This window comes from Homo sapiens, chromosome 10, assembly GCF_000001405.40.
Source record: "Homo sapiens chromosome 10, GRCh38.p14 Primary Assembly".
In the NCBI taxonomy this organism is placed as follows: Eukaryota; Metazoa; Chordata; class Mammalia; order Primates; family Hominidae; genus Homo; species Homo sapiens.
The window spans coordinates 60,180,085-60,198,979 of NC_000010.11; the positions used below are offsets into that span (position 1 = coordinate 60,180,085).

Genomic DNA, 18,895 nt, shown 5'->3' on the forward strand with positions numbered 1-18,895 from the left:
TCCCGATGAAAGTATTCAAGCAGCATAAGAAAATAAGCTAAATTCAGTCTCATTTTGGTGTCAATACCCTTTTATCTGGCTAATTTGGGGTAATATTTCTGTATTACTAGTTACTTCAATATGCCCATATACCTCAGAACCTGCCTATATTACATATAAAAATTTTATTCACAATATTTAGTAGTCATTCTTTTTCATGTCAAACATGGCATATAGAAAGAAAGCATATGTGGCTGGGTGCGGGGGCTCACGCCTGTAATCCCAGCACTTTGGGAGGCCGAGGCATGTGGATCACAAGGTGAAGAGATCAAGACCATCCTGGCTAACATGGTGAAACCCCGTCTCCACTAAAAATACAAAAATTAGTTGGGCATGGTGGCACATGCCTGTAGTCCCAGCTACTCGGGAGGCTGAGGCAGGAGAATTGCTTGAACGTGGGAGGTGGAGGTTGCAGTGAGCCGAGGTCAAGCCACTGCACTCCAGCCTGGTAACAGAGTGAGACTCCGTCTCAAAAAAAAAAAAAAAAAAACCAAAAAAAAAACATGTTAGAGTAGATGACACAAATGACACAAATCTGATATGAAGAAATAACAAAATTAAGCATATAAAGAAAATTTTCAAAGAAATGTGATTAATGTGAAGCTATATCTTTGATGATGACATGAGAAGTCCTATTTTGTGTGTGTGTTTGAGTTGTGGCATTATATAAGATTAATTAGCAATTTTTTTTTCTTTTTGAAATGAGAGCTTTCTCGTCTGAGAGAGGGAGAACACACGCATGACCGCACAGACCATTAGGAATTTAGCAAGTGAGTAATATTTAAATAAGCCTTAATTTATCCTGTTTCATAAATCATGCTGAACGAACGTAGAGGTCACAAATTACAAGTTTTTCTATTTGTCTATTTGTCTGCATTTAAAACATCCATCACAAAAACTAAGAAAGGTACAAGCTTTCACACTCTGCCCCGAAGGACACATTTGTTGTAAGGAGGCTCAACAGTGTTAATATAGGGGGAAATTACTGTGCAGCTAGAATCAAGTACCCAGGCCGTTAAAGACAAAAGTCCCTGGAATACGGCAACCGGAGACTTTAGTGTCCCTTGCATAAATAAACATTTAAAATACTACGTAGAAAAGAGATGATTAAAGGGTTTGTTCTCCTGATACAATTATAGTTTCTTCCTTACTGCAGTCACCAAATGGACACATTCTTTTCCGTGTGGCAAGGGAGGGCCGTATACCTTTGTCTGGGCGTCCACATGAGCCCCTTGGTTTACGAGGACTTCTGCCACATTCACTCGATCTTCTTGAGCAGCCAAATGGAGTGGGGTCAGGCCGCTCTGCAAAAGATTCAAAGGGCACAGTCATCGTACAGGAAGGAATGTCACACACATAGCCATGTTTGAGAAACCATTTGTGAATTCTAAGATGGTAAGCCGAGAATTTCTATGTTAGAAAAAACCTATGGAATAAATTTATATGCTTGGGAGGCTGAGGCAGGTGGATCACATGAGCCCATGAGTTTGAGACCAGCCTGGCCAACATGGCAAGGTCCCATCTCTACAAAAATTAGCCAGGTGCAGTGGCATGCACCTGTAGTCCCAGCTACTTGGGAGGCTAAGGCAGGAGAATTGTTTGAGCTCGGTAGGTGGAGGTTGCAGTGAGTTGAGATAGCGCCATTGCACTCCAGCCTTGGTGACAGGGTTGAATGAAACCTGTCTCAAAAAAAAAAATTATATGTTATACTGTCTTAGCACTGTGGCAACATGACTATCTGTAGGCTGCATGAAAAATTGTAGGCATACTCGAAAGTGTAAGAAATGGAGTGAGCCTTGTATACTCATCACAGACTTAGCAATTATCAAAGTTTTCCTATATGTGTTTCACCTATCCCTCTTTTCCTTTTCATTCATTTGTGGCAATATTAACACAAATCTAGACACTATAACATTTACCCCCATACATTTCAGTGTTCATCTACAAAAATTAGACTTTTTTTTTTTTTTACAAAATTATGCAAGAGTTTTAACATATTGCCAATGCCACTAGCTTTACCAAAAATTATTTAAATGATATCTGTTTACAAAGTGAACACTGACATATGCTGATAATATTTTCTCCATATTAATTCCCAAGGTCTAATGAATATTTTCTGTATGTCACTCTGGGTAGGAAAGATCGCCTGTGAAATGTAATGTGAATGCAAGATCATGACAATTTCCAGGTCATTTAGATGATGTATGGATTTAACAAGACTGATACAGTATTTGAAACTAACCCTATTAGAGAATTTGCAGAACACATGGTTGCTCTCATGACCAAGAAAAAAAATTACTAAGATTATACTCCGGTTTTAAAAAACCTCTTTAAATTGTAAAGCATTTTTTATAATATTTAAGAGAAAGTGAGTTGGTGTTAGTACTTTCAGATTTTTTGCTTTCATCCATTATGAGCACAGAAGTTAATATCTTAATCCTGGAAGTCTTTTCTCCCCCTCTAGCATCTGTGCAATGAAAATATCAGCCTGTCCTATTTGTCAGAGGAAAGGAGGTAATCAAAGGCAGTTTCAGGAAGAGCACAGAGTCTTCTAGATGTGAAACATTATTTATTCAGGGGTTGCTATTCCATCAGAGCAATTATGGAATGCAGAGAGAGTCAAGCTGGGACTTTTTAATAATGTTTATAGAATTTTGGAGGAAGCTCACTTGAACTGAATAAAGGGGGAAATGTGAAAAGGAGGACTGATGCATTCACTTGAAATTCAAGAAAAATAAGCCAGAGCCAAAATTGGCACCACCCAAACACTGACCTCATCACAGAACCATGTTCCGTGTTCTCCTTCAGAGGAAATAATATTGTCAGCCACAACATTTTGTGAGTGTCATGGTCACCTATTCTAAGTTTGAAACTTTTGACACTGAGGGTACCTTACTGAGTAGCTCTCAGCAAAGACTGAGAATGTGTTGTGGGCACATGTTGTCCCCTCATGCTCCCATGTCTAGGTGCCTGCTGCTCAGCTGGCTTACCCACTCACTGATGGAGTCACTTCAGGCTTCCCTGGCCTTTCTCTCTTCTCGTTTCAATAAAGGGCCAAGTTATTACATTTATGTGCAAACCTACTATGTGCTCACTTCTATTACAAATATCATAATCCTGCATTTAAACTCTGTTTTCTTGCTTGTCTTCCTCAAACCACTGTGAGCTTGTTGAGGCAAGTATCGTATCTTTGATTTTTATATAACCAGTGTCTAGCATCTAGCATTTAATCCACTCACTCATAGATTAAATCAGAGAAAAAAAATCAAACATTTTTCTTAGGTAGAACAGTATAAATTATATAAATAACATTTTATTTTTATATTCTTGGTTATAATTCAAAAGATTTTAAAAAACAATATGAAGGTAACCACAGCCCTGTTTGAGTTCAGAAGTTACCTGTTAATCTTTTATGGCATTTTGATCATTGCTCATTTTAAAAATAGCACTTAGGGCCGGGCACAGTGGCTCACGTCTATAATCCCAGCACTTTGGGAGGCCAAGGCGGACGGATCCCCTGAGGTTGGGAGTTTGAGACCAGCCTGACCTACATGGAGAAACCCTGTCTCTACTAAAAATACAAAATTAGCCGGGAGTGGTGGTGCATGCCTGTAATCCCAGCTACTCGGGAGGCTGAGGCAGAAGAATCGCTTACACCCTGGAGGCGGAGGTTGCAGTGAGCCAAGATTGCATCATTGCACTCCAGCCTGGGCAACAAGAATGAAATTCTGTCTCAAAAAAAAAAAAAAAGGTATTTATTTGAAACAGAGAAAACATCAAATTAAAATAGCAACATCTCTGTTTAATATTCTTTCAGTTGTATAAAAAATATAAGCATTGGGGTCTGCAAAACCTATATGGGAAAATAGGAACATCAAAAGCAAAATTGAATCAAATCGAACACTAGCACCTCAACAATAACTTGGGGTTCATGATCATTTTTCCTTAAAAGTACTGGGAAAGTGCTGGTTACTAGTAAGAAAAAAGAAAGTAAAAACAATAAAGTGTTTAGTTCAACATAAATTATGAAAGCTAAATCTTTTTTAATAGTTATTTTTTAGCAAGGAAATAAAATGTAGTGTTATGTGAGAAGAGGGAAAGGTAGGCAGGAGAAGGGAGGAGGGAACAGTGAGTAATTGATGCTTAAAACACTGGCAGCTCAGGAAAAACTGACAAAAACTGAGAGACAGTTCCTTATTGAATAATAAAAAGTTTTGCTGCTTTTCTGTTTTCACATCAGGGCATATTTAGTGCTTTATACTGAAAACGACAACGGAGAAAGGATGCAAGGATTTACAAATGCCTTCTTATTAGATAGTTTCTAATGAGAAGTTAGAAGTTAAAAGTATTAGAAGTTCTCAGAAGTTCCTTAAGTTCAACATGCTAATGGAAAGCCAGTTGATCTTTTAGAATTCCTTTAGGAATATCTCTGCTTGTGTATCATTTACTCAGGAAAGTGGCCAGAAATTTCCAGGTTTCCCTGGTTTGCTATATGTCTTTGAGTCTTTAGAATTCCTTTTGTTAATTTCCACTCTACTAAAACAAGCACTGAGAAAATTTTTGCCCTAAATATTTTTAGCCTAAAATCACCCTATGAGGCTAAGATGAATTCAAGGCTGGGCATATATTGTACCAGTTGGCTGCAGGATTTTGAAGAAACAAAGTCAGTCACACTGCAGTTTGGTATCAAACCTACTGGAAATATTCAATTTAAACCAATTGTGAAAGTACTACATTGTTTCTGGAAGAAATGATGAAATACAATATTATGGGCTCACAAGAGAAAATACACTCTGATACCAGCATGTGCTTCAATTTGGGAAACACAAGGTCCTCTTTGTCATAAAGACAAATTGAGTTTTGAGGCAAGCCATTACAATTCTGGTCTCTAAATTGGTATATAAAACTATAGAAAATTCAAAAGATCAAACAAATCTTAACTATAATGACGATTATGAAATTGCTTTTTGATTCCCATTAATGCTGAGACATGCACTCCTAAAAGGAATGTTTAACAAGAAAAAAATAAAATTAAAAAAATGTGTTTGCTCTGTAATGACCAAAAAAGATTTTCACAATACTAAAACTAAAAAAAGATATCCCTGGTCTCCTGTATATGTCTTTTGGTCTATAGAATTTGTTAAATAATAACCTTGAGAATTCAGATTGTTATGGAGTAACCTTTTTCCAAAACTGTAAAAACTCCAAAATTAAAAAAACGATTTTTTCTTACTTAAAAGTGTTGAATGTTTTCTCAGTGTATCCTCAAAGCAACTCAAGAAGTCAGTATTGCTATCTCCATGTACTAAAGGACAAAACTGAGGCTCAGAGAGGTAATATAACTTGCCTAAATGACACAGGAAGAATCCAACTTAGGATTCAAACTCTCTGTGATTTCAAAACACAGGCACACGTGTTGAAAGTATTTAAATTACTTGTTATTTGTCAACATAAGACTATTGCTATTTTGCAACCCTACTCCAATATCTGAGCTAGGCCTGAGAAATATCACAGCTATGCCCACACCCAGCAGGCAGAAGAGAAGCTAAATGCCAGACAGGGGAGGTTATCAGAATCTGAGGGCCCTTTTGTGTGGTTTCCTATTATCTGAAGATTTAGAAACACCTGTCTTGTGTTTTGGGTCAATCTTAATGAGCAATTCAGCAAACCTAAATTTGATACATACAGGGAGAGGCAGTAACTTCATTAACAAGTTTCTGGTTAATTGTCGGCTGAACTTTCACTTTGCTTGACAAAACTCTAGTCTTTTCTTCATGAATAATGAGCATATCAAAGATGACAGCATGGGTGTTTGAAGAGTTTAGGGAACAGTCTTCACAAGTTCCTTCAAAATTGCCAACAACTTCTCCTATCTACTCCATAAAATAGCTACTCTAAATTTGTTATTAAAATGAACTCACGAAGGCAGCAATGTTTCCCATTTCTCTTTGTAACCTAGAACTTAAAAACGGATGAGCAAGGAGCAGGACCCCAAACATGTTTGTGAAATAAAGCAAAGGGCTACAATTTGCAGCTTCTTCTTTGCTATGTTATGGTGAAGTAACAATGGTGCTCTTTGAATTAACATTATAACAAAACTTTATGTTACTACAAAAACTTCCTGGACTTCATTTTTATGGCTATGTGTACATAGAGCCACTTCCATATATACTCATTGTCTGACTGAATTATCTGAATTATTTATTTACCATTATCTTTCTGTCTTTTTTTTTTTTTTTTTTAAAGAGACAGGGTCTCACTCTGTCACCCAGGCTGGAGTATAAAGAAGCAATCAGAGCTCACTGCAGCCTCCATCTTCTGGGCTCGAGCAGTCTACCCGCCTTGTCTTCCCAAAGTGCTAGGATTAAATGCCTGAGCCAGAGCAACTGGCGCATTGACCATTTTTCTTATTGTTTAAACAGATTGTTTCCAAATTTTTGCTCTGTTAAGTAACACTTTGGTAAACAACTTGGTGCAATATTACACTTTACACATCCTATTTGACTCAGATCTTCTGTGAATTCTTAGTGACCTTTCTGAGGGGTGAGGTTTTGGTGTGCTGCATGCTTTGTCAAGAAAGAAGTGGGTTACCTTATTGCTCAGGTTCACATTCGCATTTCTACCGAGGAGCAGCGACACCATGTCCACGTGCCCTTCCTGAGCTGCGAGATGGACGGAAGCAATTCCTTGCCGGGTAACTGCGTTGGCATCAGCACCATATTCCAGCAGAGTTGTCGCTATGTCCATCTGGTTCTTTTTGGCAGCGATGTGCAGTGGCGTATAACCATTCTGTCAACACAAATCACTTGGTCACATGCCCAGGAACAAGATAAAAATGTGCACAGTGCATTTTCAAATAGTTTATGTCTCTTTCTAGTGGTTTTCTATGATTGCTTAAGAAATCATGATTAAGTAAGCAAATACTGGTAAACCAAGTGGTACATGAATATAGTGCCCTCATGTATCCTGCATTCCTAAGTAGGGAAAACATAATTTAATATGGACATTTTATTTATTTTATTTTATTTTATTTTATTTTATTTTATTTTTTGAGACAGAGTCTCACTCTTCGCCCAGGCTGGAGTGCAGTGGCTGGATCTCGGCTCACTGCAAGCTCCATCTCCCGGGTTCACGCCATTCTCCTGCCTCAGCCTCCCGAGTAGCTGGGACTACAGGCGCCTGCCACCATGCCCGGCTAATTTTTTGTATTTTTAGTAGAGACGGGGTTTCACGGTGTTAGCCAGGATGGTCTCCATCTCCTGACCTCGTGATCCACCTGCCTCGGCCTCCCAAAGTGTTGGGATTACAGGCGTGAGTCACTGCGCCCGGCTTAATATGGACATTTTAATCAAAAAGAGTTAGAGCATTATTGGTTTTCCAAAAGGAATATAAATTTCCCTTTTACAGGAAATTATGTTACAACATGCTCGATAATTACTTGCTTTATTTAAATTGAGGACAGGAGGAAGAAGCAACAAACAATCAGTTATCACTAGGGCATGTTCAGAGCCATTCATTCTTTTATTTAAAAAAATACCTTTAATTGCCATCTACTGCTTACAAGTTGAAATTTTTAATGTTCATGGAAGTTAAGACACTACCATCTCTCCTCATTTGGCCTTTTGATTTCCTCTTTTACAAAACCTGTCTTCATGCTGGTCTGTCATCCTGCATGTCCCCCAAACAGAATATAGTCTCATGTTTCTCTGTCTTGCCTTACTCTACAAGAATGCTTTTCCCCAACATGCCCAGCAGCCAGCATCTGTCAGCTGAAAATTCAGCTCAAGGGTCACACCCTCCATGAGGTTTTTTATTTCTTCCCATCCCTCAAGCCTCAACCCCTACCCCCAACCCTGACTGACTCTTATCAAAGTCCTGGGGATATTTAGTGGCACTCTTTTGTTTATTTATCTGTCCCCTCCTACTAAATATACATTTCTTAAGGGCGTATATTGTGTTATATTTGTCTTTGTATCTCTCTAGTGCCTCACAATAACTGCCATGTATTAATTACATGAAGAAAGGAATCCTCAGGTTTTGAATCAAGAGTACTAGAGCTTTCAGCATATTCTGGCATCCTTTTCTTGGCTGACCCCTGATACCCAGAGAGAGACAATCAAGATTCCCTTGATAAACTGTTAGTCAGCTGTGCCTCAGGAGCCATCAGGGTCTTCTGCCCCAAGAAAGAGTTTTGGGGGATGTTGCCCTGGTTCACAGTCACTTACAAGAAGTGTAAGATTACACTTTGACATGGACATAAACCTGAGTATGTAAAATATGCTAATGACAAATCAGAATGATTTTTTTCCATAGACAGGAAGATTTAGAAAAAGAAAATAGAATCTAAGAATTTATATTTGGAAGTATGATCCAAATCTTGACAATGGATCAGTCACAATCTTTTTGAGCCATGTGGAAGGATCACAAACAACACAGAGGGTTTTGAGGGGCTGCTGCACCCAGTACTCAGCCATCCTGCTGCAATGAACCTCACATTTAAGTCACTGGCATGTCCAAGTCCAACAGCATTCCTCACTTGACAAACCCTTATATCAACCCATGAAAGTGGAAATGTCACTTCTAGACTCTTCTGAAACTAGCCTCTGCCAAACTGGATGAGCCAGGGTAAAAGAAGATTTTATATCCCTATTTTTAATTTTGACCTATTGCCATCTGAAAACCCCAGCTGCCCTGAGAAGCATTTGGCCCTCTGCTGGGACACACCCTTCAGAGACTGATGCCCGCAGAGCCAAATGCAGAGCTTTGGTCTGAGCCCAATGCTACAATAAGTGACCAGCATAAAAGAGAAAATTCACAAAGCAGCACTAAAATAGGAAATATAATTAGTCAATGTGTCTAACACTAACCTAACTACTTCGAGTGGTAAAGGCAAGATAAACTCAGAATTTAGCTTCTTATCATGCATCTTCTCTTTTTGCTTTTGCTATTGATATAATATTCAGGTTAGTCACTTCTCAACCCCCTAACAAGGTAAGGCAGCTCACACATGAAAATCTTACTTACTTCTAATGCCACCAAAAAGAATCCTATGTCCTAAAAAAATGTTTTAATCAAGAGAGCTGTGGCAGTCAGGCATGGCGGTGCATGCCTGTAGTCTCAGCTACTTTAGAGGCTGAGCCAGGAGGATCACTTGAGCTCAGGAGCTCGAGACCACCCTGGGCAACATAGGGAGAGCCTGTCTTTAAAACTCTGAGAGAGACAGAGAGACAGATACAGGGAGAGACAGAGACAGAGAGAGAGACAGACAGAGACAGACTCAGCTCTGTAATATATGCCAATTACAGACAAATTACTATTATTGCTCAAGGATTTATCTTGAGCTCCTTACCTGAGATACAAAGGAAAGTATAAAGCAAGGGAAAAGTGACTCAGGTATTATTTTAGTATGAAAAGTTAATCTCAGAAAGACTTAAGAAATATCTTCAAATAATAAGCACATTTATCTTGAGGCTTATAATGAATTTTCTAAATTTTCTAAGTTGTTTCTACTTTGTGAAAAGTAAAAATGATTCTCACTTGCCATACTAAGAAAGGCAGATGCATCTATCAAAAGAAAAATTCAACAGGGAGTGATTCAACTGTAGAATAATTCTGACCTACAGGGTTTTTTCCCTCTTGATGTAGAGGACCAAGTGCTTGCCACATGTGCTTTTGCATTTCAAAATTAAAATAAAAGCAAATGCAATTTGAAATTATCAAAAGTAATATATAGCATTTAAATCATATTTTAATTTTTTTCAAGAACTTTCACAAATATACTGATCCATATCAATAGATATGTTGCACATTTTATGGAAGAGAAACCTGATAAATAATACTTAAAGCTCACTATCTCTTCTACAATTAGTATCCAGGTTATGCCTGAACTCAAGCCAATCCTCTTGCCAGCATAAGGTCCTGCCACAGGAAATAGATTGGACTAAAATAGATTAGAGCTGCCCATCTACTTTTCAGTACCCCAATTTCCTGAAACCTCATCACATTTCTAGGACATGTATGAGTAAGACAATACATTGGCAATTTTAAAAAAGAGAAGAAAGGAGAAGAAAGGGTAAGGAGAAGGCATCACATGCTCTAAGAAAAAGGACAAAGGATGTGATCTGATGATGAGTTAACATTGAGGTTGCTGCTGTCACATCCATGTGGTAATCATGCCCTATTGAGGCTCTGTACCTTATCTCTCACCACTGCCGGAATTCAGGAATGCCTGAGCTTCCCTGGAGTAAAGAAGGCAGATTGCCTACTCTGTATTTATTCTCCTTTCTTTCTTAGTGAAAACAAACAAACAAACAAACCCCCAAACCAAAATACAAAAAATAAAAGCAAAACAAAACAGACAAACTTCTCTGGTAGTGTGCTTAGCACTATTTCTCAACCTTTTTTTGCACATAGAAGTGGCCAGTGGGGTGTAAGGAGATGTGGTTTGGTGGAACTTCTGGGAAAGCCTTGTTGTGCTGACTTTCTTGCTGCCTGTGGCTTGAAAGTAAATTTGGCAACCCAGTCAACAGTCTTTGGAGGGAAAAGCCAAAGATTCACTGCAATTCCTGTTAAAATATCAACCTCATTTTTCACAGAATTAGAAAAAGCAATCCTAAAATTCATACGGAACCAAAAGGGAGCCCAAATAGCTAAAGCAATCCTAAGCAAAAAGAACAAAGTTGGAGGCATCATATCACCTAACTTTAAATTATACTACAAGGCTATAGTAACCAAAACAGCATGGCACTGGTATAGAAATATATGCATATATCAGTGGAACAGAACAGAAAACTCACAAGAAAAGCCACATTCCTCCAGCCAACTAATCTTTGACAAAGTTAACAAAAACAAACACAGAGAAAAGGACATCCTATTCAATAAATGGTGCTAGGAAAATTTGATAGCCAGATGAAGGAGAATGAAACTGGACCCATAACTCTCACCATATACAAAAATTAACTCAAGATAGATTAAAGACTTAAATGTAATACCTGAAATCATATGAACTCTAGAAGAAACCATAAGAAAAACTCTTTTGGGCATTGAACTAGGGAAAAAATTCACGACTAAGACCTCAAAATCAAATGCAGCAAGTCAAAAAATAGACAAATGGGACTTAAGTAAACTAAAAAGCTTCTGCATAGCAAAAGAGATAATCAACAGAGTGAACCAGGTACCATATAGAATGGGAGAAAATATTCACAACTATGCATCTGACAAAGAACTAATATCCAGGATTTATGAGGAACTCAACTCAACAAGAAAAAAAAAAATCCATTAAAAAGAAGGCAAAGGACACGAACAGACATTTTGTGAAAGAAGACCCACAAATGGCCAAGAAGCATATGAAAAAATGATCGTCATCACTAATCATCAGAGAAATGCAAATCAAAACCACAATTAGATACCATCTCACACCAATCCAAATGGCTACTATGAGAAGTCAAAAATAATAGATGCTGGTGAGGATGCAGAGAAAAGGAAATGCTTATACACTGTTAGTAGGAACGTAAATTAATATAACCTTTAAGGACAATTGTAAGGAGATATCTCAAAGAACTAAAAATAGAACTACCTTTGACCCAGCAATCCTACCACTGGTTAGATACCGCTGGTTAGGTATTTCCCAAAGGAAATAAATCATTATATCAAAAAAGATACTTGCACTCGTATGTTCATTGCAGCACCATTCACAATAGCAAAGTCCTGTAAAATCAACCTTTGTGTCTACCAATGGATGATTAGATAAAGAATATGTGAATATGTGGGATATATACATTTTATTCTTTTTTATTATTTTTTTGAGACCGAGTCTTGCTCTGTCACCCAGGCTGGAGTGCAGTGGCGCGGTCTTGGCTCACTGCATCCTCTGCCTCCCGGGTTTCAGTGATTCTCCTGCCTCAGCCTCCTGAGTAGCTGGCCACCATGCCCAGCTAATTTTTGTATTTTTAGTAGAGAAGGGGTTTCACCATGTTGGCCAGGATGGTCTCCATCTCCTGACCTCGTGATCCACCCGTCTCAGTCTTCCAAAGTAGTGGGATTACAGGCGTGAGCCACCGCACCCGGCCTATTTTATTTGTTTTTATAGCTGAGTAGTATCCCATGGTGCGCGTGTGTGTGTATACAGATATATATACATACATATAGTAGTATTCCATGGTATGCACATATTGCATACCATGTGTGTATGTGTGTATATATATATATGTATATACTATATGTTTATAGCTGAGTGGACTATTACTCAGCTATAAAGTCTTGTTTGACAAATATAAAGCTGGAAATAAGTTGTATATAATTATATATAATTATAATATATACAATTTATGTGCGTGTATACATATATACCAACACACATAAATACACACACACACCCCATGGAATACTACTCAGCTATAAAAAAGAATAAAATTATGTCTTTTGCAGCAACACAGATGAAACTGGAGGCCATTATCTTCAGTAAAATAACTGAGAAAGTCAAATACTGCATGTTCTTGCCTGAAAGCGAGAGCTAAATGTGTGCACATGGACATAAAGAGTGGAATAATAGACATTGGAGACTTGGAAAGGTGGGACGGTAGGAGTGGGGTGAGGGACAAGGAATTCTCTAATGGGTACAATGTACACATTTTGGGTGATGGTTTCACTAAAAGCCCTGTATTCAGCACTAAGCGACATATCCATGTAACACAACTGCACTTGTACCCCCAAATTGATTTTTTAAAAAGTCACAGGGAACTTGCCTCAACACCCTATATCAACATCAACAACTGCCCTGTCTACCTCCTGTTTGTGCCATGAGAAAATGGAGGCTCATCAATTTAAACCATTGTAGCTAGGACTTTTTTTTTTTTTTCCTAGCAGATAAAGCCAATACCTAAAATTATATGACTGGCTTTGCTTAAGATTAAAGTCTAGAAAAAGTTCCTGACCAGTACCACTGCCCTGAAGACAGGGATTATTGGACATGTGCCAGAGATGGCATTACCCAGGCTCTTATGGAGGCAATTGTGTATGGAAATGAGAATCAATGTCCCATTAGAAAAGCCTGTGTTTAATTGACTATAAAAATATGCCTGAGGCTAATGGAATGTTATAAAGAATTATTTAAAGGATTGCTTTTCTTTTCAAATCTTTGTAAAGGATGTTTTGCAGATAGAGAACTATGAATACTAAGTCTTGTTTGACAAATGTAAAGGAGAAATCAACTAGGAATGTACCAACTATTGCCCTGTTTAAGAGTTATTTGTGCGCCTAGCACAGTAGCTCATGCCTGTAATCCCAGCATTTTGGGAGGCCAAGGAGGGCAGATCACTTGAGGTCAGGAGTTCAAGACCAGCTGGCCAACATGAAGAAACCCCATCTCTACTAAAAATACAAAAATTAGCTGGGTAGGTGGTACATGCCTGTAGTCTCATCTATTTGGGAGGCTGAGGCAGGAGAATTGCTTCAACCTGGGAGGCGGAGGTTGCAGTGAGCCAAGATCGTGCCACTACACTCCAGTCTGGGTGACAAAAAAAAAAAAAAATTATTTGTGAGTAGAAAGAGAGATTGGAGTCATTTGCTGCACTTACTGCTTTATAACTTTGGTCAATTTTACACTGCTTTTTGTGCCAAAATTTTTATTCTCATCCAAGGAAAAAATAGTTCACTTACTAATTATTTACTTGTTATCTATGAAGGACTTGGGGTTATTTATACATAAGAAAAGTAGGGGCTGGGCAAGGTAGCTCACCCCTGTAATCCCAGTACTTTGGGAGGCCAAGGTAGGAGGATCACTTGAGGTTGCGAGTTTGAGACTAACCTGGCCAACACAGTGAAACCCTGTCTCTACTGAAAATACAAAAATTAGCTGGGTGTGGTGGCACACACCTGTAATCCCAGCTACTTGGGAGGCTGAGGCAGGAGAATCGCTTGAACCCAGGAGGCAGAGGTTGCAGTGAGCCAAGATCGTGCCACTGCACTCCAGCCTGGGTGACAGAGCGAGACTCCGTCTCAAAAAAAAGAAAGAAAAAGAAAGAGAAAAAGAAAAGTAGCCCAAAAGCACAGAGGTAAAAATGAAATGAAATAAAATGTACAACCATTAAATTCCTTACAAATTTTTCTCCTTAAAATTATGCTAAAATACACATAACAAAATTTCCCATTTAAAGTATTTTCCAGTGTACAGGTCAGTAGTATTAACTACTGTGTATTCACATTGTTCTCCAACCATCACTATTATCCATCTGCAGAACTTTTTAGTCTTCCTAATTGAGACTCTATATCCATTAAACATTAACTCCCCATTCCCTTCTCCCTCTACCCTTGACATCCACCATCCTCTGTCTGTCTCTATAAATTTGACTACTCTATATACATCATATAAGTAGAATCATACATTTGTCCTTTTGTGGCTGGCTTACTTAGCACAATGTCTTCAAGATTCCTCCATGTATTATAGTAGAGTATGTCAGAATTTCCTTCCTTTTAAAGACTAAATAATATTCCTTTGTGTGTATATGCACAGTGAGTATATGCATTCATCCATCAATGAATATTTGCATTGTTTCCACCTTTTGGCTGTCATGAATAATGCTGCTGTCTTTTTTTAAATTAAAGTTTTATCAAGTCACATTGTGGTTTTGTAATAGAAAGAATGTTTGTCAGGGTCAGAAACTGTGGAGGGGAAAGCTACATTTAGATTAAAAGCAAGTTTGGGAGTTTGATTTTGAATTTTAGATTTCACTGGGTATAATTCTGGAGAGGATGGGGCAGAAAATGATCGAAAGTTTCCAGGAAGAAATATCTGTCGAAGATAACATACTCTCTAAATGGAGAGAGTACCTAAAACTTGATCTCTTAGGGTATCTAAAGTAATCTAGAACCCCAGTTCATTCATCTGTGTATACAATGATGTGATCTAAACATTAGGTTTAAAGGAGAGCACTGCAGCTGCCCCAACATGGATTAGCAAATCAAAGATGTAAAAAGCATAAGGGAGGCCGGGCGCGGTGTGTCACGCCTGTAATTCCAGCACTTTGGGAGGCCAAGGTGGGTGGATCACAAGGTCAGGAGATCGAGACCATCCTGGCTACGGTGAAACCCGGTCTCTACCAAAAATACAAAAAATTGGCCAGGTGTGGTGGCAGGTGCCTGTAGTCCCAGCTACTCGGGAGGCTGAGGCAGGAGAATGGCGTGAACCCCGGAGGCGGAGCTTGCAGAGAGCCGAGATTGCGCCACTGCACTCCAGCCTGGGAGACAGAGCTAGTCTCCGTCTCCCTCCAAAAAAAAAAAAAAAAAAGGAGAAGGATCATAAGGGATACTCAATGGTCCTCCAACCAATAGTGTTTAGCGAAATAACTGAACAACACTGAAATGGTTTGCATCATTTCAGTGTTCTCTGATCATAGCCACCTGCTCAACAATAGGAAGCTTATTAAACCAATAGCACTCTATTAACCTGTCTTTAAGGAAGCTCTTCTTTATGATTTGTCCCTCAAATTAGATTACTAAAATAATAATATAGCTATATACCCACTCAGTTTCTCTTTTCTCAGAAATCTAAGTTGTCTACTGATCAAAAAGGCCCTAACAATAAAGATCCTCCTTAGCAATAATAAAAACACACATGTAAAACCTCTCAACCTATTTTACTAAATGCAAATAAACAACTTGAAGGCAATTATGTGGCCAGAAAAATGTAACACATGTTTCATAATTCTGACAAATCAGAACTTTCTTACTTCCTCAGGCTGTGCTTATGTTTTTCATCTGGCTAAAGAGTGTTCCAGCTCTCCTTCCTCCAGGAGGTCCTGGATTGCCAAAGACAATCAACTGACAAGTAAATATTTCCTGAGTATCTACCATATTAGCAGACTAAATCACTGAAGGCACAGATGTCCTAAGGTGCTTCTATTTCTGTGATTTTTTAGTGGTGCCTAAACTAGGAGGGTGCTCCTGCTGAAGCAGAAGTAGATGTGCAGATAGAGACTGATAGACCTTACCCATCAGTCTCCTTAGGCTGTGGAATTATAGGTACCTTTGCGGCTGCGTGAGGTGAGGCTCCTTGGTCCAAAAGCAGAAGGGCCACTTTCTGATTATCGTAATGTGCAGCTACATGCAGTGGTGTTAGCCCGCTCTGAAAACACGTGCAGAAACAACAACCAGTGTCAAAGGTGTCTTAAAACCAGAGGCTTAGATTGAGGAAATGAAATTAGATTGGATACGACATAGGGCATATTTACATTCCGGTTTCCACAGTACTTGGACCCCAGCATTTACCTTTTATTTCCCAAGTGCTCTTCATCCTAGTGGGACTTAAATATTTAGTTATAATTTGAGTGGCTATTAGTGAATATTAGCAAGGGTGTATTTTGTTATCGTGGAAGTGGCCTGCTTCAGGGTGGCTGGTGACCTCTTACCTTCCCAGCAGCATCTGGAGATGCACTTTTCTGTAGCAGGAGATTGGCGACTTCAAGCTTTCCATATTTTGCTGCCACATGAAGAGGAGTAAATCCTTTCTGAAAAAAAAAAAACATAAAAATAATGAACAATAGAAATGACATAAGGAAAACACACACAAAACCCAAACCAAACAACAAACAAACAAAAAGATATGACATAAGGGCACTGCTTTCCAGAACTGATTAATTATTCTATTGATGATGAGCAGTGAAGTCTGCATTTAAAGTCCAAGACTCACAGATAAGAGTTCAAGAGCCTTCTTATTGACAGGGTGTGAGCATAACATACCAGGATACCTAATCTTTCTCCCTTCTGCTGACTGAGCCATGACATGCTATTGGTTCTGGAAGTCTTCAGGTATCTCACCAGGATGAAGTTGGAGAGCTGGATCTGGGGCTTATTCTAGGGCTGTTTTCAGAGTTTCATATTGTGGGAAGAATAAGTTATAGGGTCCCAGACTCAGTTTGGAGGGCTTGGGAAAATCCAGGGCAAGTCTGAACCTCTCACAATCTCACATCACCAGACCAGCCACTTTTCTTCTTCTTTCCCCGTTTCTCCATGTATACACAATCCTTATGTGTCCTCTAGTCTTCAGGAGGAGGAGTGAGAAATTCTCTCACCTTTGCCACCAGAGGTGAACTGAATAATGACATGGTTTTAGAATGACGACGTCTATTCTGTAGGTGAACTGAATAATGACACATGGACAAATATGCAACACTTGGATATTAATAGCTGAGTGGCTGGCTCCCTCAGACTTCCAACTCCTACAAGAATCTGTGTATCAACCAGCCAATCAGCACACTGTTGTGGGGGTCCCAATCATGAGTCAGGGATTACGGGGTCATCAGCACATTTGACCTCATGAGACTACAGCAAACTAAAAGGAATGTGCAGCTGGTATGGTGAAATGCCTGAATACTCAAGACCCTATCACCCATTATTCTGTTTCACATCAAATGAGCTTCCTGAACTTGCATCTCAACTCTACTGAAGAGCCCAAAGAATCACAAGAAATGAAATTTGAGGTAGTCATCATTTATCCCGATAGTTTTCTATTTGTAATTGTCTTCTATATTGATTACACATTAATCTTTCTTATCTGCATCCAAATAAAAGAGTGCAGTACCAGTTACTAGCTTTGGAAGATGCGCCACAAGCCAATTCATCTTGCTATCACACTTGCAAGGCTTATGTAGTATCACAAAAAAAATGAGCTCCAAATTTTGCATTCTGCACATGCAGAACAACTGTTTATGTTAGGGTATTACTCTAAGGCATCAGAGTTGAGATAAAAATAAATCAAACCATAAGTCAGACAAGACAATAATGACACAAAAAAGAACAAGAACAAACAAAAACAACCCCAAGAAAAATTCACTGCCAGTTTTGCAAGTATTATAAAAGCATCTACCAACCGAGCTGTGATAATGTGGTTTGTGTGCTTGGCCTGAGCATTTTGCTAATCTGTGGCTCTGTTTTTAAACTACCATTTAAGGCCACCAAATAATTTACAAGAAATCTGACTCTGGATATCAGTAAGGTTTCATTGGAAGATAACATACTAAGAAACTTAAGGCAAAAAACCCCCCACAAAATACTACCAGTTACCCTCTCCCACCACAGAGCTTTGCTGGCCATATTAATGACTACTGTGGGATCGCAAGAATAGATGCTGTTGTGCAGCTTCTGGACCTGTTACTATGCGGGGAAACGTAAGGAAGATGTATTTGGGGGGACAGAGCAGGATTCTGAGATTTGCTTTCATACCTTTGTTGTTATAGATAAAGACGCTCCATGATCCAAAAGGAACGCGGCCACATCCTCATGCCCCTCTCGGGCGGAAAGGTGAAGTGGGGTGTACCCAGAAGTTGTGGCTGCATTTGGAGATGCCCCTTGCTGCAACAGCTGTTGTACTATGTCTGCTTTCCCCAGTCGGGCTGAAATGTGGAGTGGTGTTTGGTCATCCTAAACAGCAAGGTAGAAATGTAAGGCTGATGAGCTGAGGAAACAATGGTGCCTTTATGAAAAATTCAGGGAATATTAGCTGCTTGATGTAAGAGGTACAATCAACTTTTTGAGTCAATGCTAAAAAAACTCATTTGTCTTTTTCTTCAATGCTCAGAAATGAGGAGATGGTAGCTCTAAGCTAATTAAATACCTGTGGAGAGTGACTCATTAATAAGAAAACCATGAAATGCAGTTGTCTATAAATTACACCCCACCCACACCTGCCACAGAGAATCAAATTTGAACTTTAATTGCTCCTTCTTTGGGAGATAAGAGAATGTATCCTAGTAAAACTCATATACCTGGGAGGGATATTATACCTCCACACCAGTTATTATGCACTCACATGGAATGAATTATTTTGTTGGTTCTGCCTTCCCATAGACAAAAGCAGAGTGTG

At 38.9% G+C, this 18,895-nt stretch overlaps 1 protein-coding gene across 4 annotated transcripts in view; it reads right to left on the reverse strand.

Moving 5' to 3' along the window:
* Positions 1-18,895, reverse strand: part of ANK3 (ankyrin 3) — a 707,231-nt gene that overhangs the window by 153,787 nt on the left and 534,549 nt on the right. For all 4 annotated transcript variants that reach the window (NM_001204403.2, NM_001204404.2, NM_001320874.2 and 1 more), the window contains 5 exons: positions 18,256-18,453; positions 16,443-16,541; positions 16,061-16,159; positions 6,631-6,828; positions 1,245-1,343 (listed from right to left, as the gene is read on the reverse strand). In NM_001204403.2, the coding sequence (NP_001191332.1) occupies positions 1,245-1,343; positions 6,631-6,828; positions 16,061-16,159; positions 16,443-16,541; positions 18,256-18,453 (693 nt within the window). The remainder of the gene's footprint in view (positions 1-1,244; positions 1,344-6,630; positions 6,829-16,060; positions 16,160-16,442; positions 16,542-18,255; positions 18,454-18,895) is intronic.